Source organism: Homo sapiens, chromosome 17 (genome assembly GCF_000001405.40).
Source record: "Homo sapiens chromosome 17, GRCh38.p14 Primary Assembly".
In the NCBI taxonomy this organism is placed as follows: Eukaryota; Metazoa; Chordata; class Mammalia; order Primates; family Hominidae; genus Homo; species Homo sapiens.
Genome location: NC_000017.11, coordinates 78,226,131 through 78,248,313, shown reverse-complemented (window position 1 = coordinate 78,248,313; position 22,183 = coordinate 78,226,131). Strand labels below are relative to the sequence as shown.

Genomic DNA, 22,183 nt, shown 5'->3' with positions numbered 1-22,183 from the left:
CAGTGTCTGGGACAGGGTGTAGGGACAGGAAGGACACCCTTCCAGCTCCCGTCACCAGAGCTCGGGAGGCAGCGGGGCAGGCCTTCGCTCTAGGTCAGAGAGGAGCCCTTTCTTCAGGGCCACGTGGCCAGTTACAGCTTCCTGAGTTCAGGAAGGGAAACGTCAGAAGGAAGCAGAAAGGGACATGGGAACTTGATGGTCAGGGCTTTAACTGCCGTGGTGAGGGATTTCCATTTTATCTTGTGGTCCTCTAATACGTATTTTCCTTTTTAGAAAATAAATTACTCAGGGCCGGGCATGGTGGCTCACGCCTGTAATCCCAGCACTTTGGGAGGCCGAGGTGGGTGGATCACTTGAGGTCAGGAGTTCGAGACCAGCCTGGCCAACATGGTGAAACCCCATCTCTACTAAAAATACAAAAATTAGCCAGGTGTGGTGGTGCGTACCCGTAGTCCCAGCTACTCGGGAGGCAGAGGTGAGAGAATCGCTTGAACTGGGGAGGTGGGGGTTGCAGTGAGCCGAGATTACGCCACTGCACTCCGGCCTGGGTAACAGAGCCAGACTCCGTCTCAAAAAAAAAAAAAAGGAAAAGAAATTACTCTGCTTAACAAAATAATATGTCTGTATTGTAGATGATGTGGGAGTAAATCTTACTTTTAGCAACTCTTAGGGTAGTTCAGGCAGACTCAGTCAAAAAAAAAAAAATGAAGCCAGGCGTGGTGGGGTGTGCATCTGTGGTCCCAGCTACGTGGGAGCCTGGGGTAGGAGGATCATTTAAGTCCAGGAGGTGGAGTCTGCAGTGAGCCGAGATCACACCACTGCATTCCAGCCTGGGCGACAGAGGGAGACCCTGTCTCAACAAATAAACAAACAAACAATCTGATAGTACTGAAGAGCCTGCAAGGCAGTCATGAATTGTGAGGTCAAGATCTGGGAGAAGAGGGAACCTAGAGAGGTGAGCCTGGCATTTGGGACACTTTTCCTCGACGCGTCTGCTCGGGAGCTGAGGAACTGAGCAGAACTTTTCACAGGCACACAGGGCTGAGGGCAGAAGCTGAAGTTCAAGGCCTGCTGAAAGACCCTGGTAAGAGTCCCTCAAGCAAGACTCTGTCTCAAAAAACAAACAAACAAACAAAAAAACCCTCAAGCTTTGGGTTGAGTCCCTGAGGGGCCACCCACTAGGAGTAAGGGCAATTGGAAGTAGACTGACCATCGTGAGAAGTGAAGCCAGCTGTGAAGCACTGTGATCCCTGATTACGGCAATCTGGGGTGGTGGGTGCCTCTGGCCTAGCTGCCTGCCAGAAGTAAAGATCCGTCTTCTCTGGAGGAAGGTGACGTCTCCCAGAGCCTCCAATTTCCTCTACAGTTATTCATGTGGGATGCCCCCACTCAATCAGAAATAACCAGGTATAGAATGGGACAAGATGTGATTGAAAATGAGAAAAAAATGGACAAAAGAGGCCAGGCGCAGTGGCTCATGCCTCTAATCCCAGCACTTTGGGAGGCAGAGGCGGGCAGATCACTTGAGGTCAGGAGTTTGAGACCAGCCTGGCCAACATGGTGAAACCCCATCTCTACTAAAAATCCAAAAAAAAATTTAGCTGGTCATAGTGGTGTGGGCCTGTAATCCCAGCTATTCGGGAGGCTGAGGCAAGCGAATCATTTGAACCCAGGAGGTGGAGGTTGCAGTGAGCCAAGATCACACTGTTGTACTCCAGCCTGTGTGACACAGCAAGACTCTGTCTCCAAAAAAAAAAAAAAAGAAACAGACCCTTAGGTGACCCAGATAACAAAGTGGCTTGTGCCTGTAGTCCCAGCTACCCAGGAGGCTGAGGTGGGAGGATCACTTGAGCCCAGGAGTTCAAGGCTGCAGTGAACCGTGATCATGCCACTGCACTCCAACCTGGGTGACAGAGCGAGACCCATCTCTAAAAAAATAAATAGCTTGAGTGTGGTGGCTCATGCCTACAATCCCAGCACTTTGGGAGGCCGAGGTGGGTGGATCACTTGAGATCAGGAGTTCGAGACCAGCCTAGCAAACATGGTGAAACTCCATCTCTACTAAAAATACAAAAATTAGCTGGGCATGGTGGCACACACCTGTAATCCCAGCTACTCTGGAGGCTGAGGCAGGAGAATCGCTTGAACCCGGGAGGCAGAGGTTGCAGTTAGCCAAGATTGCGCCACTGCACTCCAGCCTGGGTGACGGTGAGACTCCGTCTCAAAATAAATAAATAAATTAATTAATTAAATTAAATATTCTAGGCTGGGTGTGGTGGCTCATGCTTGTAATCCCAGCATTTTGGGAGTCCGAGGCAGGCAGATTGCTTGAACCCAGGAGTTTGAAACCAGCCTGGGCAACATGGTAAAACCCTGTTTCTACTTAAAAGTACAAAAATTAGCCAGATGTGGCACCTGTAGACCCAGCTACATGGGGGACTGAGGTGGGAGGATTGCTTGAGCCTCCCAGGAGGTGGAGGTTGCAGTGAGCTAAGATTGTGCCACTGCATTCCAGCCTGGGTGACACAGAGAGACCCCCATCTCAAAAAAATAAAAAATAAAATATTCAAGGAATTATAAGTCAAGATAAAAAAAATTTGGCAGGAATCTTGGAACTATAAGAAGGCCACATGGAAATTCTAGAACTGAAAAATATGATAACTTAAGAACTCAGTAGATAGGTTGAATAGTAGATGAGACACAGCTGGAGAGAGAATTAGTGAAGAGGGAGATAAATCAAGAGAAAATATCCAGATAAACAAAAGATAGTTCTTTGAAAAGAGTAATAAAATTGATAAACCTCTAATGAGACTGATCAAGAACAAGAGAAAGGAAGTATAAATAACTTGTGATAATGGCTGGGCACGGTGGCTCATGCCTATAATCCCAGCACTTTGGGAGGCCGAGGAGGGCAGATCACCTGAGGTCAGGAGTTCAAGACCAGCCTGACCAACATGGAGAAACTCTGTCTCTACTAAAAATGCAAAATTAGCCAGGCATGATGGCATGTGCCTGTAATCCCAGCTACTCAGGAGGCTGAGGCAGGAGAATCACTTGAACCCGGGAGGTGGAGGTTGCAGTGAGCTGAGATCGTGCCATTGCACTCCAGCCTGGGCAACAAGGGCAAAACTCCATCTCAAAAAATAAATAAATAAATAAATAAATAAATAAATAACTTGTGATAATATTAAAAAGAATAAAGAGGCTGGGCATGGTGGCTCATGCCTGTAATCCCAGCACTTTGGCAGGCTTAGGCAGGTGGATCACCTGAGGTCAGGAGTTTGAGACCAGCCTGGCCAATATAGCAAACCCCATCTCTACTAAAAATACAAAAAAGTATCCAGGCCTGGTGGTGCGTGCCTGTAATCCCAGCTACTCAGGGGGCTGAAGCAGAAGAAGTGCTTGAACCCAGGAGGCAGAGGTTGCAGTGAGCCGAGATCCCGCCACTGCACTTCAGCCTGGGCAAGAGAGTGAGACTCCATCTCAAAAAAAAAAAAAAAAAAAGAAGAAGAAGAAGAAAATAAAAATTACCTGTATTTTTATCATCTAAGAATAACTATTAATATTTTTGTCTATTTCATTCTGGATATGTATATATGTATATAAATCTCTGCGTGTGTGTGTGTGTGTGTGTGTGTGTGTGTGTGTGTGTGTGTGTATTAAAGAGGGGAGGTATACAGTCAGATCAGTGCTTTAGAAAGCCCTTAATAGGAATCCCAGAAGGAGGATTGTTTAGAATGGTAAAGTAGAGACTTTAGCTTAAGATTGTTAACTTTGAGACCCCAAGAAGAGGTGGTTAAGAAGCTGCCAGGAATGTAAGCACAGAGCTCAGGAGGGGGCCTGGACTAGAGGAAGAGCTATGAGAAACCACAGCATGGGCTGGGTGTGGTGGGTCATGCCTATAATCCCAGCACTTAGGGAGGCTGAGGTGGGTGGATCACCTGAGATCAGGAATTCAAGACCAGCCTGACCAACATGGAGAAACCCCATCTCTACTAAAAATACAAAATTAGCCGGGCGTGGTGGCACATACCTGTAATCCCAGCTACTCGGGAGGCTGAGGCAGGAGAATCACTTGAACCTGGGAGGCAGAGGTTGCAGTGACCTGAGATCACACCATTGCACTCCAGCCTGGGCACCAGAGAAGAGTGAAACTCCGTCTCAAGAAAGAAATGAAAGAAAGAAAAGGAAGGAAGGGAGGGAGGGAGGGGACGGTGGAAATCTTGGACTGCAGTGAGTGTAAGGGGAGAAGAGTCCACGTGGCAGGCAAAGGGGAGTTTCCCTCTGTCCCTCCATCTCTTAGAAGAATCCAGATCCATACTGTGGAAGATCCGTATACAGGAGTTCCCAGGGCCCCAGAACTGCTGTCCTGTGCTGGAGAAGGTGGTAACTCAGAGAATCAAAAGAAAGCCAGCAACTCGCATGCCTGTAATCCCAGCATTTTGGGAGGCCGAGGCAGGTGGATCACCTGAGGTCAGGAGTTCAAGACCAGCCTGGCCAACATGGAGAAACCCCCATCTGTACTAAAAGCACAAAAATCAGCAGGGCATGGTGGCAGGTGCCTGTAATCCCAGCTACTCAGGAGGCTGAGGCAGGAGAATCGCTTGAACCCGGGAAGCGGAGGTTGCGGTGAGCCGATATCACGCCATTGCACTCCAGCCTGGGTGACAAGAGCAAGACTCCGTCTCAAAAAAAAAAAAAAAAAGAAGGAAGCCAGTAACTCTAAGCCCCTGTAATTCCGTGTCTCCCTTACTGCCCTGTCTGGGGCAAGCACCAGCAAAAGTGCATTATATTGGTTATCCATTGCTGCATAACAAATGACCCCAAAACATACTGCCTTAAAGCAACAATCATTATTTCCCATAGCACTGTGGGTTAGGAATTGGAGAGTGAGCCGGGTGTGGTGGCTCACGCACACCTGTAGTCAATCCCAGCACTTTGGAACGCCGGGGCAGGTGGACTGCTTGAGCCCAGAAGTTTGAGACCAGCCTGGCCAACATGGTGCAACTCCGTCTCTACAAACACAAAAAGTAGCCAGGTGGCTGGATGTGGTGGCTCACGTCTGTAATCCCAGCACTTTAGGAGGCCGAGGCATGGGGTATCGCCTGAGGTCAGAAGTTGGAGATCAGCCTGGCCAACATGGTAAAACCCCATCTCTACTAAAAATACAAAAATCAGCCAGGCACGGTAGCACGCATCTGTAATCCCAGCTACTTGGGAGGCTGAGGCAGGAGAATCGCTTGAACTCGGGAGGCAGAGGTTGCAGTGAGCCAAGATCGCACCACTGCACTCCAGACTGGGCGACAGAGCAAAAACTCTGTCTCAAAAAAAACCAAAACCAAACAAACAAAAAAAGTAACCAGGCCTGGTGACTCACACCTGTGGTCCCAGCTACTCGAGAGGCTGAGGTGGGAGGATCACTTGAGCCCAGAAGGGCCATGCCTCAGTGAGCCGAGATGGAGCCACTGCTCTCCAGCCTAGGTGACAGAGTGAGACCCTGTCTCAAAAAAAAAGCGGGGGAGAGGCGGAATTTGGGAGTGGCTTACAGCTGGAAAGTTCTGGTTTGGAGTTTCTCACGAGGTTGCCGTCAAGACATCAGTGAGAACTGCATTATCTGAATAATCCTCTCGCAGGTGGTGTCCTCACACAGCTGACACGCTGCTGCTGCTGTTGGCGGAGGCCTCAGTCCTGTCCATGTGAGCATCTCCTCAGGGCTTCCTGAGTGTCTTCACAGTCTGATGACTTGCTTCCCCTAGGGTGAGCAGTCTGAGACCGAGGCAGAAGCTGCCTTTTTATGACCCCCTCACACGCTGGTACTTCCTACTTGACACCCAAGTCAGCGCTGACTCAGTGTGGTAAGGCCTACAGAGGCGTGAGCACCAGGAGATGAGGACAGATGGGGGCTCTCTTGCGGGCTGCCTACTGCATTTATAAATGCTGGTTGGGCATAGGGCCTGAGCTGATGAGAGGCCCCTGTCCTCACAGAGGTCAGGCCCCTGGCAGGGGCACCTACCAGGTGGTGCAGATAAACATGCCCGAGTGGGATGCCAGTGGGCCCAGGACCTGGCGGAGCTGGGCCATCCCTGGAGAAGGGGCTTTGCTGTGGCGAGAGGAGCAAGCGCCTTCGATGCTGGGGGAAGGGCCTCTGAGTCAGGGCTTGTTTCTGGCACGTGCACACGCTTGCTCACACACACACAGAACACCTCTGGATGGACAGACGTGCGCACAGCTGGTGACAGTGTTTACTCGCCTTTGTGCTATTTGTGGCACAAGGGCACGTGTTACCTATTTTGAAAAATTCTAAGAAAAAATTGAAGAAAGAGGCCCACGTGGGCCAGTGGATCCCACCGTGGGAACCACCATTGCAAGCGGTTTTGGTGCACAGGCTCTCTCCTCTTGCTGTAAACGACGCAGCACCATTTGAGCCTGATGTCATGTTGTCTATTCTGGGTGACCTTGAACCATGCACTGTCTCTTCCCTGGGAGGCACTCATCCGCCTCTTAATCACAGCTGCAAAGCCTGACACTCAGAGAACCATGAACACAGACAGAACCCTTGGGCCAATCACTGTGGAGACTAGCCAGAGAGTGAGGGAGTTAACTGGCCATTCAGAGGGTAAGGAACACTGACTGGCCAATCAGAGAGTGTGGGGCATCAACTGGCCAGAGTGGAGTCAACTAGCCAATCAGAGGGTGAGGGATGTGGCTGGCCAGTCAGAGTGAAGGAGTTGACTAGCCAATCAGAGCGTGAGGGAGTCCACTAACCAACCAGAGGGTGAGGGATGTGGCTGGCCAATGAGAGAGTGAAGAAGTTACCTGGCCTGGCTAAGTTCCACACGCCCCAGAACACGTGGAGGCAAGGTGGGCAGCTCTGTTCTGGAAGGGAAGGGTCAAGCAGCACACCCTCCCCACCACACACACTCTCCGGGAACGCTGGTGGTCCCAGCAGCCCCTCCCCGGTGTGTCTTCCCCAGTGTCCTATCCCCAGAGCCCAAGCACATCTGCCGTGAGAGGCCTGAAGTTAGGCTCACATCCCTGGCTTCCCAGCAAACCCCCAGGAGAAGCCTCATCAGCAGAAGTTGGGGGCCAGGAGGAGGAGAGGAAGAGTCCGCCACACCTTTCCTCCCAAGCTGAGAGGACATGCCCACGAAGCCAGCCCCCGTTTCCAAAACGGAGACCCAGGCCCCCCTCCCCACTCCCTGTGCTGATCTGGGAATAAGAAGTAGGCTTGTATGTCTACAGATGACTTCACAGTGGACACACACACACGTGCACACACGCTCTCAGAACACCTCTGGATGGACAGACAGACACGCGCACAGCTGGTGACAGTGTTTGCTCACGTTTGTACTGTTTATGACAGACAGGCATGTGTTACCTATTTTGAAAAGTTCTAAGAAAAATAAAAGGCTTATACTGCACACAGCACAAGTGATTTACTTAAGGACAAATTGGCACAATGGTCCCACATGGAATGGTAAACGTTCAAACACCAGGAGGAAGAGGAGGCCCTGCTCACCCCCCAGATTTGTCCTCACTGGGCCCCACCAAAACTGTGCCACCCCCTCAAGCCCCCAGGAGCTTCCTTAACCTTTGAATCAATAAAGAGACCTAGGGGTGGGGCAGGGTGGAGGAAGATCAAGCTACAAGAGGCTGCCACCTTCCCCAGCACACCTCTCAAGACCTCTCAAGACTCGGGAAGGGCCCCCAAACCCCAAACGGGGCCGTTTAGTGCTTCCACGTGTTGTACAGGCCCTGGGAACCCTTCTCCTGCAGCCACCTCAACTGTCCATCTGCATAACGGTGGGCGTGCCCCAGCCTTTGTGGCCCAAGGGGACTCAAGTGTGTGCTGGCCATCCCTCTTCTCACCTGTCTCACCCTGGGACCAGCAGTGGGCCTGCGGGCCTGGGCCTGCAAACTGAGCCCCTCCCAACCTGGGGTTCTGCCCTGTGTTTAACAAGCCTGCATCCCAAACTCCAGGCCCAGCCCTGCGCCACCCTAGGCAGCCCTGGCCCCTGTGGTCAAGAAGCACCCTCAGCCAGGCCCCCTTTGAGGCAGGCAAGGAGTGGCCCCAAACTCCTCCACCATGGCATGACACCCCCACCCCACCCTTCTGGGACTTCCATCTCTGCCAGCTCAGTGTGCCCACCAGGGCACTCACAGTGGCATACCTCCCCCGGGTTGCTGCAGAGAGGAAGGGTCGGGGGCCGGAAGCAGCAGCAGCCTGTGCCAGGACAAGGACAGAGATCTGGGTGCCTGCTCTTCCCGGAAGTGCTCAGTGAAAAGTACCTAGCAGGCTTGAGAACAAGGGAGGGGGCAGAGGGGTACATCTGGATCGCTCAGCTCCTTGCCCCCCACCCCTGCAAATCGGAGGGGCTCTCGGGCCCTCTCATCAGCCTCTTCTCCACCAAGCCTGCCCTTCGGGGAGAGTGGACAGAACAGAGGCCAGGGAGGCCTTGGCCTGAGACGGCATCTCTCTGGCGCCAGGCGATCTGGGTGGGTCCCTCTGCCGCTCTGGGCCTCAGTCTCCCCCTCTGTAAAATGGATAAAGGGTAGTCATTGAGTAGGGCCATTGCGGGGCTGGAGAGGAGCATGGAGCCCAGTCCTGCGGCATTTAACAGGCACCTACTTTTCTCCCAGGTCCTTAGGAATGGGGGCAGCAGTGACTCACTAGCCTGCTGGGGGAGGGGCGAGTTCAGGCCACACCCTTGAGAGGTGCCCCCACCCAACTCTGCCACTCAGCCTGTGTCACCTGGGCCACTTACTTCCTCTTTCTGGACTGGCTCTTCTCATCTCTAAGAGGCGGTTGAACCAATTAGTCCCTAACAAGCCTGCCGGGGCAGGGGAGCCTCCCCAAATATCTACAGAGAAACATGAGGAGCTGGATTCTTGGCTCTGCCCTCCACCCCTTGTCACCCCCAGCCCCTTCCTGGCCAGGACCCCAGCGAGGCCCAGAGAAGGGATTCCCAGACTCTCAAGGGGCCCTGGCCCTGACCGCCCAATCCCGGGAGGTGCAAAGGGAAACCCAGCCCCCTCTTACCTCCCTCCCACCTGCTGGGGACTCAGATGACCACAGATTGGGGGGCTCAGGCTGAGGGTCCAGGCAGCTGAGAGCAGGAGGGTTCCGCTGAATGCCTCCAAGGCACAGGAGCCCCAGGCCAGGGCCATGGACCAGCCGAAGCTGACGCGGACGCCCTGCATGTGCTGCGGGCCATACTGCTGCACCGTCTCCGCAAAGGCCAGGTGCGAGTAGCTGATGTAGATGCTGACCCCCGCCAGTGTCAGGACACCTGGGGGAGAGATGGGGAGGGCAGCTGCTCGGTGTCTGCTCTAGCGGGCCCAGGCCCAGGTGGTCCTGCAGACATGGCCTCAGCATCCCCGGCCCCGCTAGCATTCAGGCAGAGCTGCAGGCAGCACACCGCCCTTCCTGTCATGGTTAGCCCTGCCTGGCTGTCAACCTGGCCGCCTCTCCCAGACACCACCTCCTGCTTGGGGTTGGACAGGGCTAAAGGTAGTCAACTGCATTTGGCGGAGTGGAGCTTTAAGAGGCTCCAATTCAGTCCTCAAACCTCAGAGACCTCATCCCATAAAGCCTCCTGCAAACAGTGCCACCTGCCCCTCAACATGGTTCCCACTCACATAACTGCCCCCCACACACTCTGTACCCTCCATGGCCCCCAGCACACACATGCACATGCACACCTACACGAACACATTTGCACACATTCACACACACACACACACACACACACACACACACACAGAGCCATGGCCTCTGCTGGCAGCAGCGTTGCCCAGTGCTCTGATCAGAGTGAGTCCCTGCCCTGCACCCCCGCCTCCTCTTCCTCACACCTTTGCCCTCCCTACCTCCGGGGCTAACATCCCCCTCCCTCTGACTCCCCTTCCAGAGCCCCCCTGTCCTCCCAGCTCTGAGTTTCAGGCCCTTCCCCAGGGGAGGATGCCTGCCCTGGGCCCTCCTCTCTCCTCCCTCCCGCTCTCCACATGGTCAAAGCTGTTGTCAAAGGAATGAAGCTGGGCTTTGCACAGGGTGGCGGGCACCAGGCTTCATCCGGCAGTTCAGGGTCCAGCAACGAGCTAGGTAGGGGACTCGGCCCATGCCTCCAGGGCATTTTCCTGTCCACTGAGCTTGGAGGAACCAGCCCGGAGTGCCACCCCCTTCCCACAGCTTCAGGCTGATGAGAAAGCCTGTCCTTGGCGCCGACTGTAGGGAATGTTAGCCAGGGGGGCAGGTGGCCCTGATTTCCCCACAGGCACTTCCTGGGTGCACAGGGTCCCCTCTGGGCACTGCCCAGCCAAAAGAAGGCAACTGACCCAAGCTGACATTCAGGGCCAGGTCTGGATCTCACTGGTGCCCAGTGAAGGGGCACAACACAGCCTGGTCTTCTGTGATTCCTCCTGGGAACCAAACTTGGGAAGAAGAGTGGGACAGAGAGTGGGGAGAAGAAGGCATGGGGAGGCTGAGGGAGGGAGGACACACGGATGCCTGCCCGGCTGGGCAGCGTAGCAACAGAAATTATGGATTTATTTTGGGGAAGAATGTGAAGCCAAATTGAATGAAGCGGTCCCTGGGAGAAGCAGGGGTGGGGGTCAGCCCCCAGCAGCGGGGGCTGACCGTGCGGCAGGAGGTGCCTGTCTCTGCCTGTCTCTGCCTGTAGCACTGGCTGCAGCTGCAGCCCAAGGCCCCACTTCCTGGCAGGCCGCCCCACCAGCTGAGCCCTCTCCAAACACCAGCTGCCTCCTGTAGCCTGGCCGAGGACACGGCCTTTCTCCCAAAATGAAGGTGAAGAGTAAGCTCCCAAACTGGGACCTGAAGTACCTCCCAAATCCCTGGTGATGGGGCCCAGGCTCAGCTCCTGGCAGACCTCCTAAAGGAGGCCTCTGCGGCTGGCACCTGCAACCTCAAGCTGGGAAACTCTAAAGGACTCTGTCACCGTGGGCCCTGTCGGTCCCCCAGGCCCCCCAAGATCCTGTCTCAGGGAAGGGCACCCAATCGATCTGGGGCCCTCTATCTCCCTCCCCCTCCTTGCAGTGCTAGTGAGGGGTGAGGGCCGAGCTGACCCTGGGCAGGTGCCTTTGGTGTGACATCCTGAGAGCCCTCTGTGCTTCGGCCCACAGCTGACCCTCATACTAGGATGGAGGCCCCCTCTGCCTGGGGAGGCTGGAGTCGCAGTGGAACCCCCACCCATCCACCAGCTACCTCCGGCCCCTCCACCCCCTAGCCGGTGCCTTCGCTCCCAGGCACAATGCAGAGGGTCCGTGTCCCTGTAAGTTCTTCTGGTTACAATCCCAACCCAATTACACTCTAGTCGCTGGCTCCCGAAGGTCCTCTTAATTGGATTTTGAACACTCACAGATGGGCCGCAGGGTCAGGTCATTTGGATTCTTCCTGATTTCATTGTCTAGAGGAGACCTTGACTTCACTGTTGTTCTCATGTGGCCTGTGACCAATACCAAGGCTGCTGGTTTCCCCAATCTCTGCACCCAGTCGGGCCTCCTCAGTGACAGAGGCCTCCCAGAGAAACAGGGAGGGTGCCCCCAGCCCTGGATGGTCTGCTCCTTGTGGCCACAGCCTTGACAGTGGAGCTGGCCTGAGACATCAGGGCCTGGCTCGGGCCTAGCCTTGATTGACAGGGGCGGCTGAGGACAGACTGTCAGGAGCCCCTAGTCCACCTTCCGCAACAGCCAGTGCTGGGCAGTCGGTGGAAACTGAGGAGACAGCACCAGTGGGGGTGAAGGGGAGCCCAGGCCCTCGGCCCTCTCCAGGCCTCAGATTTCTCACCTGCAGCTGGGACTGGGGGGCCCTCGGAGGAGCCTTCGGAGGAGCACTTGGCCAGCACTCGGCATGTAGTCAGAGCTGGAGCCGCGTCAGTGGATGGGTGGTTACCGGTTACAGTCTCAGCCTGTGCTGGGGTCAGAGCTGAGGCCTCTGGTGCCCTGTCTCACCTGCCTTCATGCCTGGCCCTGCCTCATCTGTGCCAAACCCCGGAACCCTTGCTCCTCCCACCAGGACAGTACAGGAAGGAGAAGGGTGTGGTGAGGGGCTGGCCCCAGGCCCCCCCGCATGATCTGACCCAGTAGAGCAGGTCCTGGGGTTGCCCTGGAGGCCCTCATGCCCCCCGCACCAAGAAGCTTGGACCCCGGTGCTCCTCCCTGTCCCAGGCTCTGACCCACAACCAGAAGCCCTGCTCCTATCACGGTGCTAGGGTTTGGTGTCCCGGCCCGAATCGCATGTGGAATGATAATCCCCAGTGTTGGAGGGGGCGCCTGGTGGGAGATGACTGGATCATGGCAGTGGCTTCCCATGAATGGGTTAGCACCATTTCCCTTGGTGCTGTTCTCTGGATAGTGAGTGAGTTCTGAGATCTGGTTGTTTAAAAGTATGTAGCACCCAGGGCTGGGCATGGTGGCTCATGCCTGTAATCACAGCACTTTGGGAGGCCGAGGCAGGAGGATCACAAGGTCAGAAGATTGAGACCATCCTGGCTAACATGGTGAAACCCCATCTCTACTAAAAATACAAAAAAATTAGCCGGGCGTGGTGGCAGGTGCCTGTAGTCCCAGCTGCTCAGGAGGCTGAGGCAAGAGAATGGCATGAACCTGGGAGGCAGAGCTTGCAGTGAGCGAAGATTGCGCCACTGCACTCCAGCCTAGGAGACAGAGCGAGACTCCGTCTCAAAAAAAAAAAAAAAAAAACTATGTAGCACCCAGCTGGGAACGGTGCCTCACACCTATAATCCCAGCACTTAGGGAGGCTGAGGCAGGTGGATTACCTGAGGTCAGGAGTTCAAGACCAGCCTCACCAGCATGGAGAGACCCCGTCTCTACCAAAAATACAAAATTAGCTGGGTGTGGTGGCGCATGCCTGTAATCCCAGCTACTCAGGAGGCTGAGGCAGGAGAATTGCTCGAACCCAGGATGCGGAGGTTGCAGTGAGTCGAGATCATGCGATTGCACTCCAGCCTGGGCAACAAGAGCGAAACTCCATCTCAAAAAAAAAAAAAAGTGTGTAACACCTCCCTACTCTCTTCCTCCTGTCCCAGCCATGTGAAATGCTGGCTCCCTGCCTTGGCCTTCCGCCTGTGATTGTCATTTTCCTGAGGCCTCCCCAGAAGCCAAGCATCATGCTTCCTCTACAGCATGCAGAACCATGAGCCAATTAAACCTCTTTTCTTTATAAGCCCAGCTAATTTTTGTGTTTTTAGTAAAGATGGGGTTTTACCATGTTGGTCAGGCTGGTCTTGAACTCCTGACCTCAGATGATCCACCCACCTCAGCCTCCCAAAGTGCTGGGATCACAGGCATGAGCCACTGCTCCCGGCCTAAACCTCTTTTCTTTATAAATTACGCAGTCTCAGGCATTTCTTTATAGCAACGTGAGAACAAATATACATGGGTACCTTCTGGAACCACAGGGAGCTGCCTGCCACGGCTCCATCGCCAGACTCAGCACCCGCCCAGAAGGGAGCAGGGGACGAGGGCAACAGGAGAGGCAGCACCCCACTCCCGGGACCTGTGGCCCAGCTCCCATCTTTGGAGCCATTCCCCCAGGGCCCCAGACTCACTCCCCAGCAGGAAGTAGCAGCCGGTGAAAAGCAGCAGAGACACGCTCTGGGCCAGGGAGCTGAGCAGGCCGCAGATCCAGCCACACACGAGAAGGACCAGGCTCAGGGGCAGGACCACAATGACTGCACGGTGCAGCACTGCAGGAAAGGGGGCTCAGGTGAGAATTCTGGTCCAGGTGGGCCCTTCAGCACTTGTCTGCCGGAGGACAGTGACGTGGTGCTTCGTCTTCTCAGGAAAAGCGGCTGACGCCCATCTCTGTGGACACCACTGGACCCTCCCAGTGGCCCCCTCTGACTCTGGCAGGGGCTTCCTAAGGCCAGGAGGGGAGGCGTCCCCAGAACACTCCCAGCCCCCATCCCCAGGCCTCACATGTCCCCCAACCCGCCAGGTGGAAGGTGCCAGCCAGGTAGACAGCAGGCCATCTGGAAGAATCGAGTCCTAAATGGGGAGCCAGGAGTCTGCAAGGCCCGCAGGATCCAGCCAAGCTGGGAGCTGCCTGGCTTCCCCAATAACAAAGGGATGAGCCATCACCACTGAGAGGGAAACTGAGACAGGGGAAAACAGGATAGGCTGGGAGCTGGGCACCTGTGGTTAGGGACAGCAGCACAGCACTGGGACAGGTCTGCGTGGAAACGTCCTCTTGGAAACGCAGGGGCAGTGGAAGCAGTGCTGCGGGATGGGGATGGGGATGGCTGGGATCTGCCTTGCCTGAATATTTGGAAAGGATGGGGAGGTGGCCCCACCCAGGACTCACAGATGAGGTGCTGCACCGAGGTGGAGACGTCCAGGCTCTCACTGGCAAAAGGGTCGACCAGCGGGATGCAGCCGTTCTGCCCTGGGAAACATAGGCCTCGAAGCCTGGGGCCTGGACGCTGTGGTGCACCCAGCAGCCTACCCGAGCCCAGGGGACCCCCTGGCACCACAGGGCCCTGCCAGCTTCTCTTCTGCTGAAACTCAGGGCTGGGACTCCAAGTGGGATGAAAAGGCCCAAGACCTTTAGCCTTGTTTATTTTCTTTTTCTTTTTTTTTTTTTTGAGATGGAGTCTCGCTCTGTCACCCCAGGCTGGAGTGCAGTGGCGCGATCTCGGTTCACTGCAAGCTCCGCCTCCCGGTTTCGCGCCATTCTCCTGCCTCAGCCTCCCAAGTAGCTGGGACTACAGGCACCCGCCACCGTGCCCGGCTAATTTTTTGTATTTTTAGTAGAGACGGGGTTTCACTGTGGTCTCGATCTCCTGACCTCGTGATCCACCCGCCTCGGCCTCCCAAAGTGCTGGGATTACAGGCGTGGGCCACCGGGCCCAGCCTTCACCTTGTTTATTTTCACGTGCAAGTTATGCCTGCACAGGTGCATGTTTAAACTTTCAAACGCTCCATGGAGGCCCCCTCAGAGTCCCTCAGGCAGGGGTCCTTGTAATGCGTTTGTGTGTGGAACTCAGGCTTTGCCTGAAAGGAAAAAGGGTGTACAAAACGGGCTCCTGGGAAGCCTCGCTCTGGAATCTTCCTGACTCGTGTCATGTGGGCATACATACTCTCTGGTTCTCACACGCGTGCAGAGCCACCTGCATAGGCACAGGCGTGTGCACACGTGCACACAGGTGCATGTCAGGAGGTCTTTGGAGCACAGTTAGGCAGTCTGTTGGATGAACACAAGGCTCCTAACTCCTCCCCAGTTGCACTGAGGAAGCCACCAGCACATGTGCACCACCCACACATGCACTCACTCATATACATGCCCACACACTCTCACATGCACACACATGCACACTGACATGCTCACACACTCATATTCACATGCACACACAACTACATACACTCACACTCACATATTCATATTTACATACACAGCCAGGTGCTCACACATGTTCATGTTCAGCACATGCACACATATTCAGATGCACACACATGCTCACTCACACACACACCCCTGCCCTGCCAGCCCTCGCGCTGTGAAGGGGAAGCTCCCCAGGCTGGCCCCAGCTCCGGAGGAGGGAGCTGGGGGGAACGGAGGGGGCCCTGTGGACCCTCCAGCCTGCTGGGATCCCCTTCTCTCTCCCCGGACTCTGAAGCCTCTGTACACATTTGGAACCCCTGCCCCCGCGGCATCAGGAGGTGTGGGGTGAACAGCTCTGACAGTGCCTGACAGGGACGGGGACAAGGGGCTGCCAGGCCCAAACCCCGGGGAGCGTGATCAAGAAACAACCCCTGGTGACTTGGATGAGGCCCCCCAACTACACACCTCTAGGCTTCCCTCCCCCACTGTCGCCCCACAGCCCCCTCCTCCGGCTGTGAGGGGCCCCGAACTGGGCTCCCTCCCTCCTGTAGCCCTTGGGCTGTCAGTTTTGGGGGAAGACGGAGGGTGATGGGGAGGGAGCGGAGAGACACCCTGGGGCAGAGCGGGATGCAAGAGAGGGGTCCTGGAAGGGGGTCTGGCGGGGCAACACGAGCAGGGCGGGGTTAAGGGGGTGTCGGAGGGACGAGGTCGCGGAGGGAGGAGGGCCGGCGCGGTGGCCGGTTACCTTCGCAGATGCGCCAGAGCCCCGAGTGCGAGGAGAGCAGCTCTGCGCGCCCGGGCCAGGCGCTGCCATTGCCGGCGTCCGCCACCTCCAGGATGTACCAGTAGTCGCTGGCGACCGCGGCGGCCAGGAGCGCGAAGCTGAGCAGTGCACCCAGGGCGGCGGCCAGGAGCAGCGCGCCCAGCCGGGCCATGGGGGCGGCCGGCGGGAGGGGACGGGTCGGGGGTAGCAGGGCCCCGGGGGCGGCGGGGGGCGCGCGGAGCCGGGAGCCGGGGGACGGGGGGCGGGCGGGCGCGGCGGCGCCCGGCTCTTCTGAGCACGTCCCCGCTCCTGCCCGCGCACTGGCCTCGCGGGCCCCCTGGGGTCGCAGGGAGATCGACCCCACCTCTCTGCGGTCGCTGAGCTCGCCCCTGGGGGAAAGGAGAGGAAGTCGAGAGCCGCGCGGCGAACCTGGGGCTTGGGCTCCAATCCCAGCGTCCCCACGGGCTGGCCCCGGGTCCCTGGGCACGTTCCTTAATTTCCCTGAACCCCCGGCTCCTCAGCAGCCAAACAAGATGCACCTGCCTGGCCGGGCTGTGCAGGGCTTGAGAGGAGGAGGGAGGATCGGCCAGAGACCGACCCCAGGAGGATGGCCGGCCAGGCAGCAGGACCACCCACCCGTGCTCCTGGAAGCATAGGAGCCTGGCACGGGCTGGCCCTGGGGTCCTGGTCTGTATCAGTCCTGAGGACCAACCAGACGGCATCCGGTGAAGTGCAGTGGCTGGGCCCCACAGCCGGGCGGGGGGCTGCGGAAGGAAAAAACCTTGTTTTGGATTCACTCATAATTACAAATGCCCCCTCCAGCAAGGCCGGCCTCTGCCTGTCCAGTCACTCACGGAGAAAACAGGCAGAAAGAACCTTCTAGGACAGGCGTGGGGTGCCAGTGGGGGTGGGAGGCAGAGGAGCCGGCGAGAGGCCCCCACCCATCCACCCAGGACTAGCCCCATGAGCAACGCCCGCGTGGGCAGCCACACAGGCGGAAGGGACAGGCTGGGCAGCCATCGCCTAAGGTCTGGGGTTAAATCTCAAACGAAGGGGAGGCTTCCTCTGGGTTGCCACACAGGGCTGGGCAGAGCCTGCAGAGAGGGGATCAGAGGTCTGAGGACATCCTCCCGGATGGTGGCCCTTGGAGGTGAAGCCAAGGCTCTCTTCTTGGGGCGTTTTGGCCATGCTTTCCTCTGCTAGGCTCTTGTTGGTTTGAGGAATATAGTCAGGAAGGAAAAACCAGCCTAGCAGTTATTGAAACAATATTTCAAACAGAGTTCAGACAGAGTGACAGAATGGCTCAGGTATTTTGTAGCCGTCCTCACACCTGCAGCACCAGACTGTGTTGCCGCACGTGGGCAGCTCTGGGGTTTTCCAGCCCCCTTGGAGCTGGGGCTTCCCTGACCACAGCCCCTCTCTGGGAGCCATGTGGCATCCAGCAGCCCTGTTCTCTAGGGGTGGGGATAGCACATTAGATCTGGAAGGTGAAAGAACTCAACAGGTGCTCAGAGAGTAGCAGCCGTTATAAAGGCAGAGGCGATAGGGATAGGGGGTGGGGCCTCGTTCCCCCCCTAAACACACTGCAGCTGGGGAAAGAACGGTGCGTGATGAAAACTCGTGGTACTCTGACACTGACCCCACAATAAAGCAATATAACAAGAATCAATATTGCTTCGGTTGGATCAACACCTTTGTGCATGTGAAAGGTACGAACTGACTCTGCAGGGAGAACAGAGGAGCCCCATTTGGGCTGCGTGCTCCATGTGTGTCCTCCCGGTGACTTCCCCTTCTCTCTCTCACTCTATTTATTTTTTTAGAGACAAGGTCTCCCTATGTTGCCCAGGCTGGACTCAAACTCCAGGGTTCAAGTGATCCTCCTGCCTGGGCTTCCCAAAGTGCTGGGATTACAGGTGTGAGCCACCAAGCCCAGCCTCTCCTTTCTTTTTTTTTTTTTTTTTTTTTCAGAGACAGGGAGGGCAGGGGTCTCCCTATGTTGCCCAGGCTGGTCTCGAACTCCTGGGTTCAAGTGATCCTCCTGCCTCGGCTTCCCAAAGTGCTGGGATTATAGGCGTGAGCCACTGTGCCCAGCTTCCCCTTCTCTTGAGCTGAGAGCTGGTTTGAGATCTGTTATTGCACCCACATAAAGCTTACGTAGGGCCAGATATGGTGGCTTGTGCCTGTGGTCTCAGCTACCTGGGAGGCCAAGGTGGGAGGATTGCTTGAACCCAGGCAGGAGGTTGAGGCTGCAGTGAGCTGTGGCTGTGATCAACAGAGTGAGACCCTGTCTTAAAAAACAAAAAAAGGCCAGGTGCAGTGGCTCACGCCTGTAATCTCAGCACTTTGGGAGGCCGAGGTGGGAGGATCACTTGAGGTCAGGAGTTCCAGACCAGCCTGGCCAACATGGCAAAACCCTGTCTCTACTAAAAATACAAAAATTAGCTGGGAGTGGTGGCTCATGCCTGTTATCCCAGCTACTCAGGAGCCTGAGGCAGAAGAATCACTTGAACCCGGGAGGCAGAGGTTGCAGTGAACTGAGATCACACCACTGCACTCCAGCCTGGGCAACAGAGCAAGACTCCATCTCAAAAAAAAAAAAAATGCTTAACGCCACTGTTATCTAGGAGGAGGTTTTGGCCAGGTGCAGTGGCTCACGCCTGTAATCCCAGCACTTTGGGAGGCTGAGACGGGTGGATCATGAGGTCAGGAGTTCGAGACCAGCCTGGCCAATATACTGAAACCCCGTCTCTACTAAAAATACAAAAATTAGCTGGGCCTGGTGGCGTGTGCCTGTAGTCCCAGCTACTCGGGAGGCTGAGGCAGAAGAATTGCTTGAACCTGGGAGGTGGAGGTTGCAGTGAGCCGAGATCGCATCACTGCACTCCAGCCTGGGCAACAGAGCAACACTCTATCTCAAAAAAAAAAAAAAATGCTTAACGCCGCTGTTATCTAGAAGGAGGTTTCAGCGGGGTGCAGTGGCTCACGCCTGTAATCCCGGCACTTTGGGAGGCCGAGGCAGGCAGATCACGAGGTCAGGAGATCGAGACCATCCTGGCTAACACGGTGAAACCCTGTCTCTACTAAAAATACAAAAATTAGCCAGGCATGGTGGCACGCGCCTGTAGTCCCAGCTACTCAGGAGGCTGAGGGAGGAGAATTGCATGAACCCAGGAGGCGGAGGTTGCAGTGAGCCAAGATATCGCCACTGCACTCCAGCCTGGGCGACAGAGCAAGACTCCGTCTCAAAAAAAAAAAAAAAGAAGGAGGTTTCAGCATCACGGAGCCGCGTCTCTGTAGAATGGACACGTGTTTCACTCATGCTGCAGCGCTAGGAGACAGCCACCTTAGCAATCCACACCCCATCTGCATGAGAAAGCCTGGGTTCAGTGTTCCCAACTCTAGATGTGCAGCTGGAACCACTGATTAAATTGTCCCGTAGGCAGCAGGCACCAGTCTTCGAGGGGCTACTTTGATGAATTCTGCTAGTATATTTCCCTTGAAATGGACCCAAATTATACCCTAGCTCAGTATGAAAAGGCACTACTTTAGAACAACACATTATTTTTCATTATTCATCGTTCTTTCATCAACTTGGAACTCCAAGCCTGTCTCTAAGCTGTCAGGCCCTCTTCCAAGCCAGCATCAGACCCCTATCACTGAAATCAGTGCAGAATGGGCTTTTGATGGACGAAACTCTAGTTATAAGTGACAAAAAACAATGTGGCTTCCAAGCCTCTTCTTTTTTTTTTTTTCCCCAGAGATGAGGTCTTGCTCTGTCACCCAGGCTAGAGTGGTGCAGTGGTGTGATCACGGCTCACTGCAGCCTCAACTTCCTATGTGCGAGTGTTCCTCCCACCTCAGCCTCCAGAGTAGCTGGGACCACAGGCATGTCACACCATTCCCGGGTAATTTTTTAAATTATTATTTTGGTAGAGACAGGGTCTTGCTTTGTTACCCAGGCTGGTCTCAAACTCCTGGCCTCAAGTAATATTCCCACCCTGCCTCTCTTATTTTTATTTTATTTATTGATCTTTTTTTTTTAGAGTCTCGTTCTGTTGCCCAGGCTGGAGTGCAGTGGCATGATCCTGACTCATTGCAACCTCTGCCTTCCGGGTTCAAGCAATTCTCCTGCCTCAGCCTCCTGAGTAGCTGGGACTACAGGCACCCAGCACTATGCCCAGCTAATTTTTTTGTATTTTTAGTGGAGGCTGGGTTTCGCCATGTTGGTCAGGCTGATCTTGAACTCCTAACCTCAAATGATCACCCACCTCGGCTTCCCAAAGTGCTGGGATTACAGGCATGAGCCACCGCAACTGGCCCTGCCTCTCTTCTTTTAAACCCATATGTAACTACCTGGATCCAGTGGCTGGAGGACCAGCAGGCCTGGCCCTTGTGATGCCAGTGGGCACAGCCCTCTGCGCCAGGCTGATGACACCATCTGCCACCTCCACTACAGGGCTGGGGAAGCAGCTGGAGCCGTGGCTGAGTCACTGTCGGAGCAGCTGAGCGTCGCGTATGCTACAACTGATTTCACAGCATTTGACAAACGTCCCCCCACAGAAAATGAACCTCACTGAGTTTCCCTGTCCAACAAGTCAATTCATTAACTCAGGGCATTAGGACACTAATCCCCCCTGGGAGACTCAAAGCCACTGTTCGAGTCAAACCCCCACATTCTAAGGGCTCTTTCATGGTTGGGGCCATGGGTTAGAACCAGGCACCTTTTCATTTTTCGTGGACAGTGGTATTGTTTGTGAGATGTGGCCATGATTGGGAGGCAGCCAAAGAGCTGGGAGCTCTCCTCCCCAAGCACAACTCCCAGGCCTGTGAGGGGCTCAGCACGGTGACCCAGCCTTCCCCAGCACCTGCCCAGCGAGCCTGGCGGCCCAACAGGGTTCCATTCTCAGGGAGGCAGGCAGGCGCCTCCGAGGCCACAAGGGGTTTCTAAGGGACAAGCTTCTTCGGCAGCCGTGCCTTGGGCACTGCAGCACCTGCCCAGCATCCTGGATGGTGGCTGGAAATGATATCCTGGAGAAACAACTTCCTCAAAGGGAAATGAGTTCGTGTTTTCTAGAGTGAAAGTTCCTCCCCGGACAAAGCTGAGACCTGCACTGGCTTTGAGTGACTAAATGTCTTTCTGGGAGGCTTTGACTCACTGGGTAACGTGGAATGGGCAGTGCCCTAGGCTGCAAGGCTTCTCCGACATCATCCCGGAACCAGCCTTTGCTTCCTTCCTCACATCGCAGAGCGCACCTGCAGTGCCCGTTCCGTTCCCTCCGACCTGTGCATCCTCCCCTTCCCTTCCTGGTCCCGCTGGCAGCCTGCCACCTGTGCCAGGACAAACAGCTGCACAGGGATGCCCTTTCCTGTTGCCATCCAGGGCAGAGCTCACCGTCTTCTCGGTACTCCTGCAGACACCAGCCACACATGTGCAGACGTGCATGGCTATTTGCTGACCTGTCTTCCCACCGTTCAGAAAACAAAAACCCGGGGAGCTCACTGCAAGAGTTGTTCCTGGGCTTCAATTCCTGGATCTGGCACCTGGCGCACAGTAGGTGCACAAGCAAATACCTGAGTGAATGAATGGATGTCTCCTCTTTGGGGATCACGTGGAAACCCCAGAAGTCAAGGCCCCAGTTTGGTCCCATCCAGCTGAAAACAGGTGTAAATAATGTAGGCTAAGCCCAGCGGAGAGAAAATCTGCAGCTTAGTTAGTCCTTTGCTTTGTTGAGCTAGATTCAGCTGAGTCAGGAAATCCTTCGTGATGGCAAGACGGGCTTGGGGCAAGCTGGGCCGCACAACTCACCCTCTCAACACAGACCTTGGATGTTGAAAGTGAATACAGTGCACTGTCCTCACAACGGGGAAAAGGAGGAGAACGGTATGCGGGATCCCCTGTACTAGCCTTACAACTTCCTGTGAATTTTCATTTCAAAATAAAAGGTTACAATGTACAGAGAGGATCTATGAAAGCCTTGGGGAGGCAGGTGTCAGCTCCATATGACAGCCTTTCTGACAAAGCTGTCTGAAAATGGAATGGGGTGCTTTAAAGACAGCCCTCACTC

General features: G+C 55.3%; 1 protein-coding gene across 12 annotated transcripts, besides 6 other annotated features; it reads right to left on the bottom strand.

Annotated features, from left to right (window-relative positions):
- Positions 1,639-1,839: a silencer, noted in NCBI's record as "peak3016 fragment used in MPRA reporter construct". NCBI's record gives its function as "represses an SCP1 promoter by STARR-seq MPRAs in K562 erythroleukemia cells {active_cell/tissue: K562}" and the evidence as "EXISTENCE:reporter gene assay evidence [ECO:0000049][PMID:32103011]".
- Positions 5,610-5,759: an enhancer, noted in NCBI's record as "active region_12882". NCBI's record gives its function as "activates an Ori minimal core promoter by ATAC-STARR-seq in GM12878 lymphoblastoid cells {active_cell/tissue: GM12878}" and the evidence as "EXISTENCE:reporter gene assay evidence [ECO:0000049][PMID:35858748]".
- Positions 5,770-5,899: an enhancer, noted in NCBI's record as "active region_12881". NCBI's record gives its function as "activates an Ori minimal core promoter by ATAC-STARR-seq in GM12878 lymphoblastoid cells {active_cell/tissue: GM12878}" and the evidence as "EXISTENCE:reporter gene assay evidence [ECO:0000049][PMID:35858748]".
- Positions 6,370-6,489: an enhancer, noted in NCBI's record as "active region_12880". NCBI's record gives its function as "activates an Ori minimal core promoter by ATAC-STARR-seq in GM12878 lymphoblastoid cells {active_cell/tissue: GM12878}" and the evidence as "EXISTENCE:reporter gene assay evidence [ECO:0000049][PMID:35858748]".
- Positions 6,650-6,699: a silencer, noted in NCBI's record as "silent region_9053". NCBI's record gives its function as "represses an Ori minimal core promoter by ATAC-STARR-seq in GM12878 lymphoblastoid cells {active_cell/tissue: GM12878}" and the evidence as "EXISTENCE:reporter gene assay evidence [ECO:0000049][PMID:35858748]".
- TMEM235 (transmembrane protein 235) lies at positions 7,327-17,021 on the bottom strand. 12 transcript variants are annotated; one of them, NM_001388481.1, is made up of 9 exons: positions 16,973-17,021; positions 16,101-16,882; positions 14,339-14,419; positions 14,170-14,253; positions 13,584-13,721; positions 11,801-11,926; positions 11,373-11,459; positions 9,041-9,290; positions 7,327-8,534 (listed from the first exon to the last, which is right to left on the bottom strand). In NM_001388481.1, the coding sequence occupies exons 2-9, from the start codon at positions 16,288-16,290 to the stop codon at positions 8,522-8,524; spliced, it is 969 nt and encodes a 322-aa protein (NP_001375410.1). In that variant the 5' UTR covers positions 16,291-16,882; positions 16,973-17,021; the 3' UTR covers positions 7,327-8,521. The 12 variants fall into 12 exon arrangements, with proteins under 12 accessions (NP_001375410.1, NP_001375409.1, XP_011522922.1 ...); NM_001388480.1 differs by lacking the exon at positions 11,373-11,459 and having other exon boundaries at positions 11,801-11,875; XM_011524620.3 differs by lacking the exons at positions 14,170-14,253; positions 16,973-17,021 and having other exon boundaries at positions 9,052-9,290; positions 11,801-11,875; positions 16,101-16,507.
- Positions 18,979-19,179: a silencer, noted in NCBI's record as "peak3015 fragment used in MPRA reporter construct". NCBI's record gives its function as "represses an SCP1 promoter by STARR-seq MPRAs in K562 erythroleukemia cells {active_cell/tissue: K562}" and the evidence as "EXISTENCE:reporter gene assay evidence [ECO:0000049][PMID:32103011]".

What these genes read in the sequence shown, in the direction of transcription:
- TMEM235 (XM_011524620.3), bottom strand. Translation starts at nt 16,290, where the DNA reads ATGGCCCGGCTGGGCGCGCTGCTCCTGGCCGCCGCCCTGGGTGCACTG. An exon ending in GCTCTGGCGCATCTGCGAAG is followed by an intron (nt 14,420 to 16,100) that starts GTAACCGGCCAC and finishes TATGTTTCCCAG; the next exon opens with GGCAGAACGGCTGCATCCCG. An exon ending in CTGCTACTTCCTGCTGGGGA is followed by an intron (nt 11,876 to 13,583) that starts GTGAGTCTGGGG and finishes ACGCGGCTCCAG; the next exon opens with CTCTGACTACATGCCGAGTG.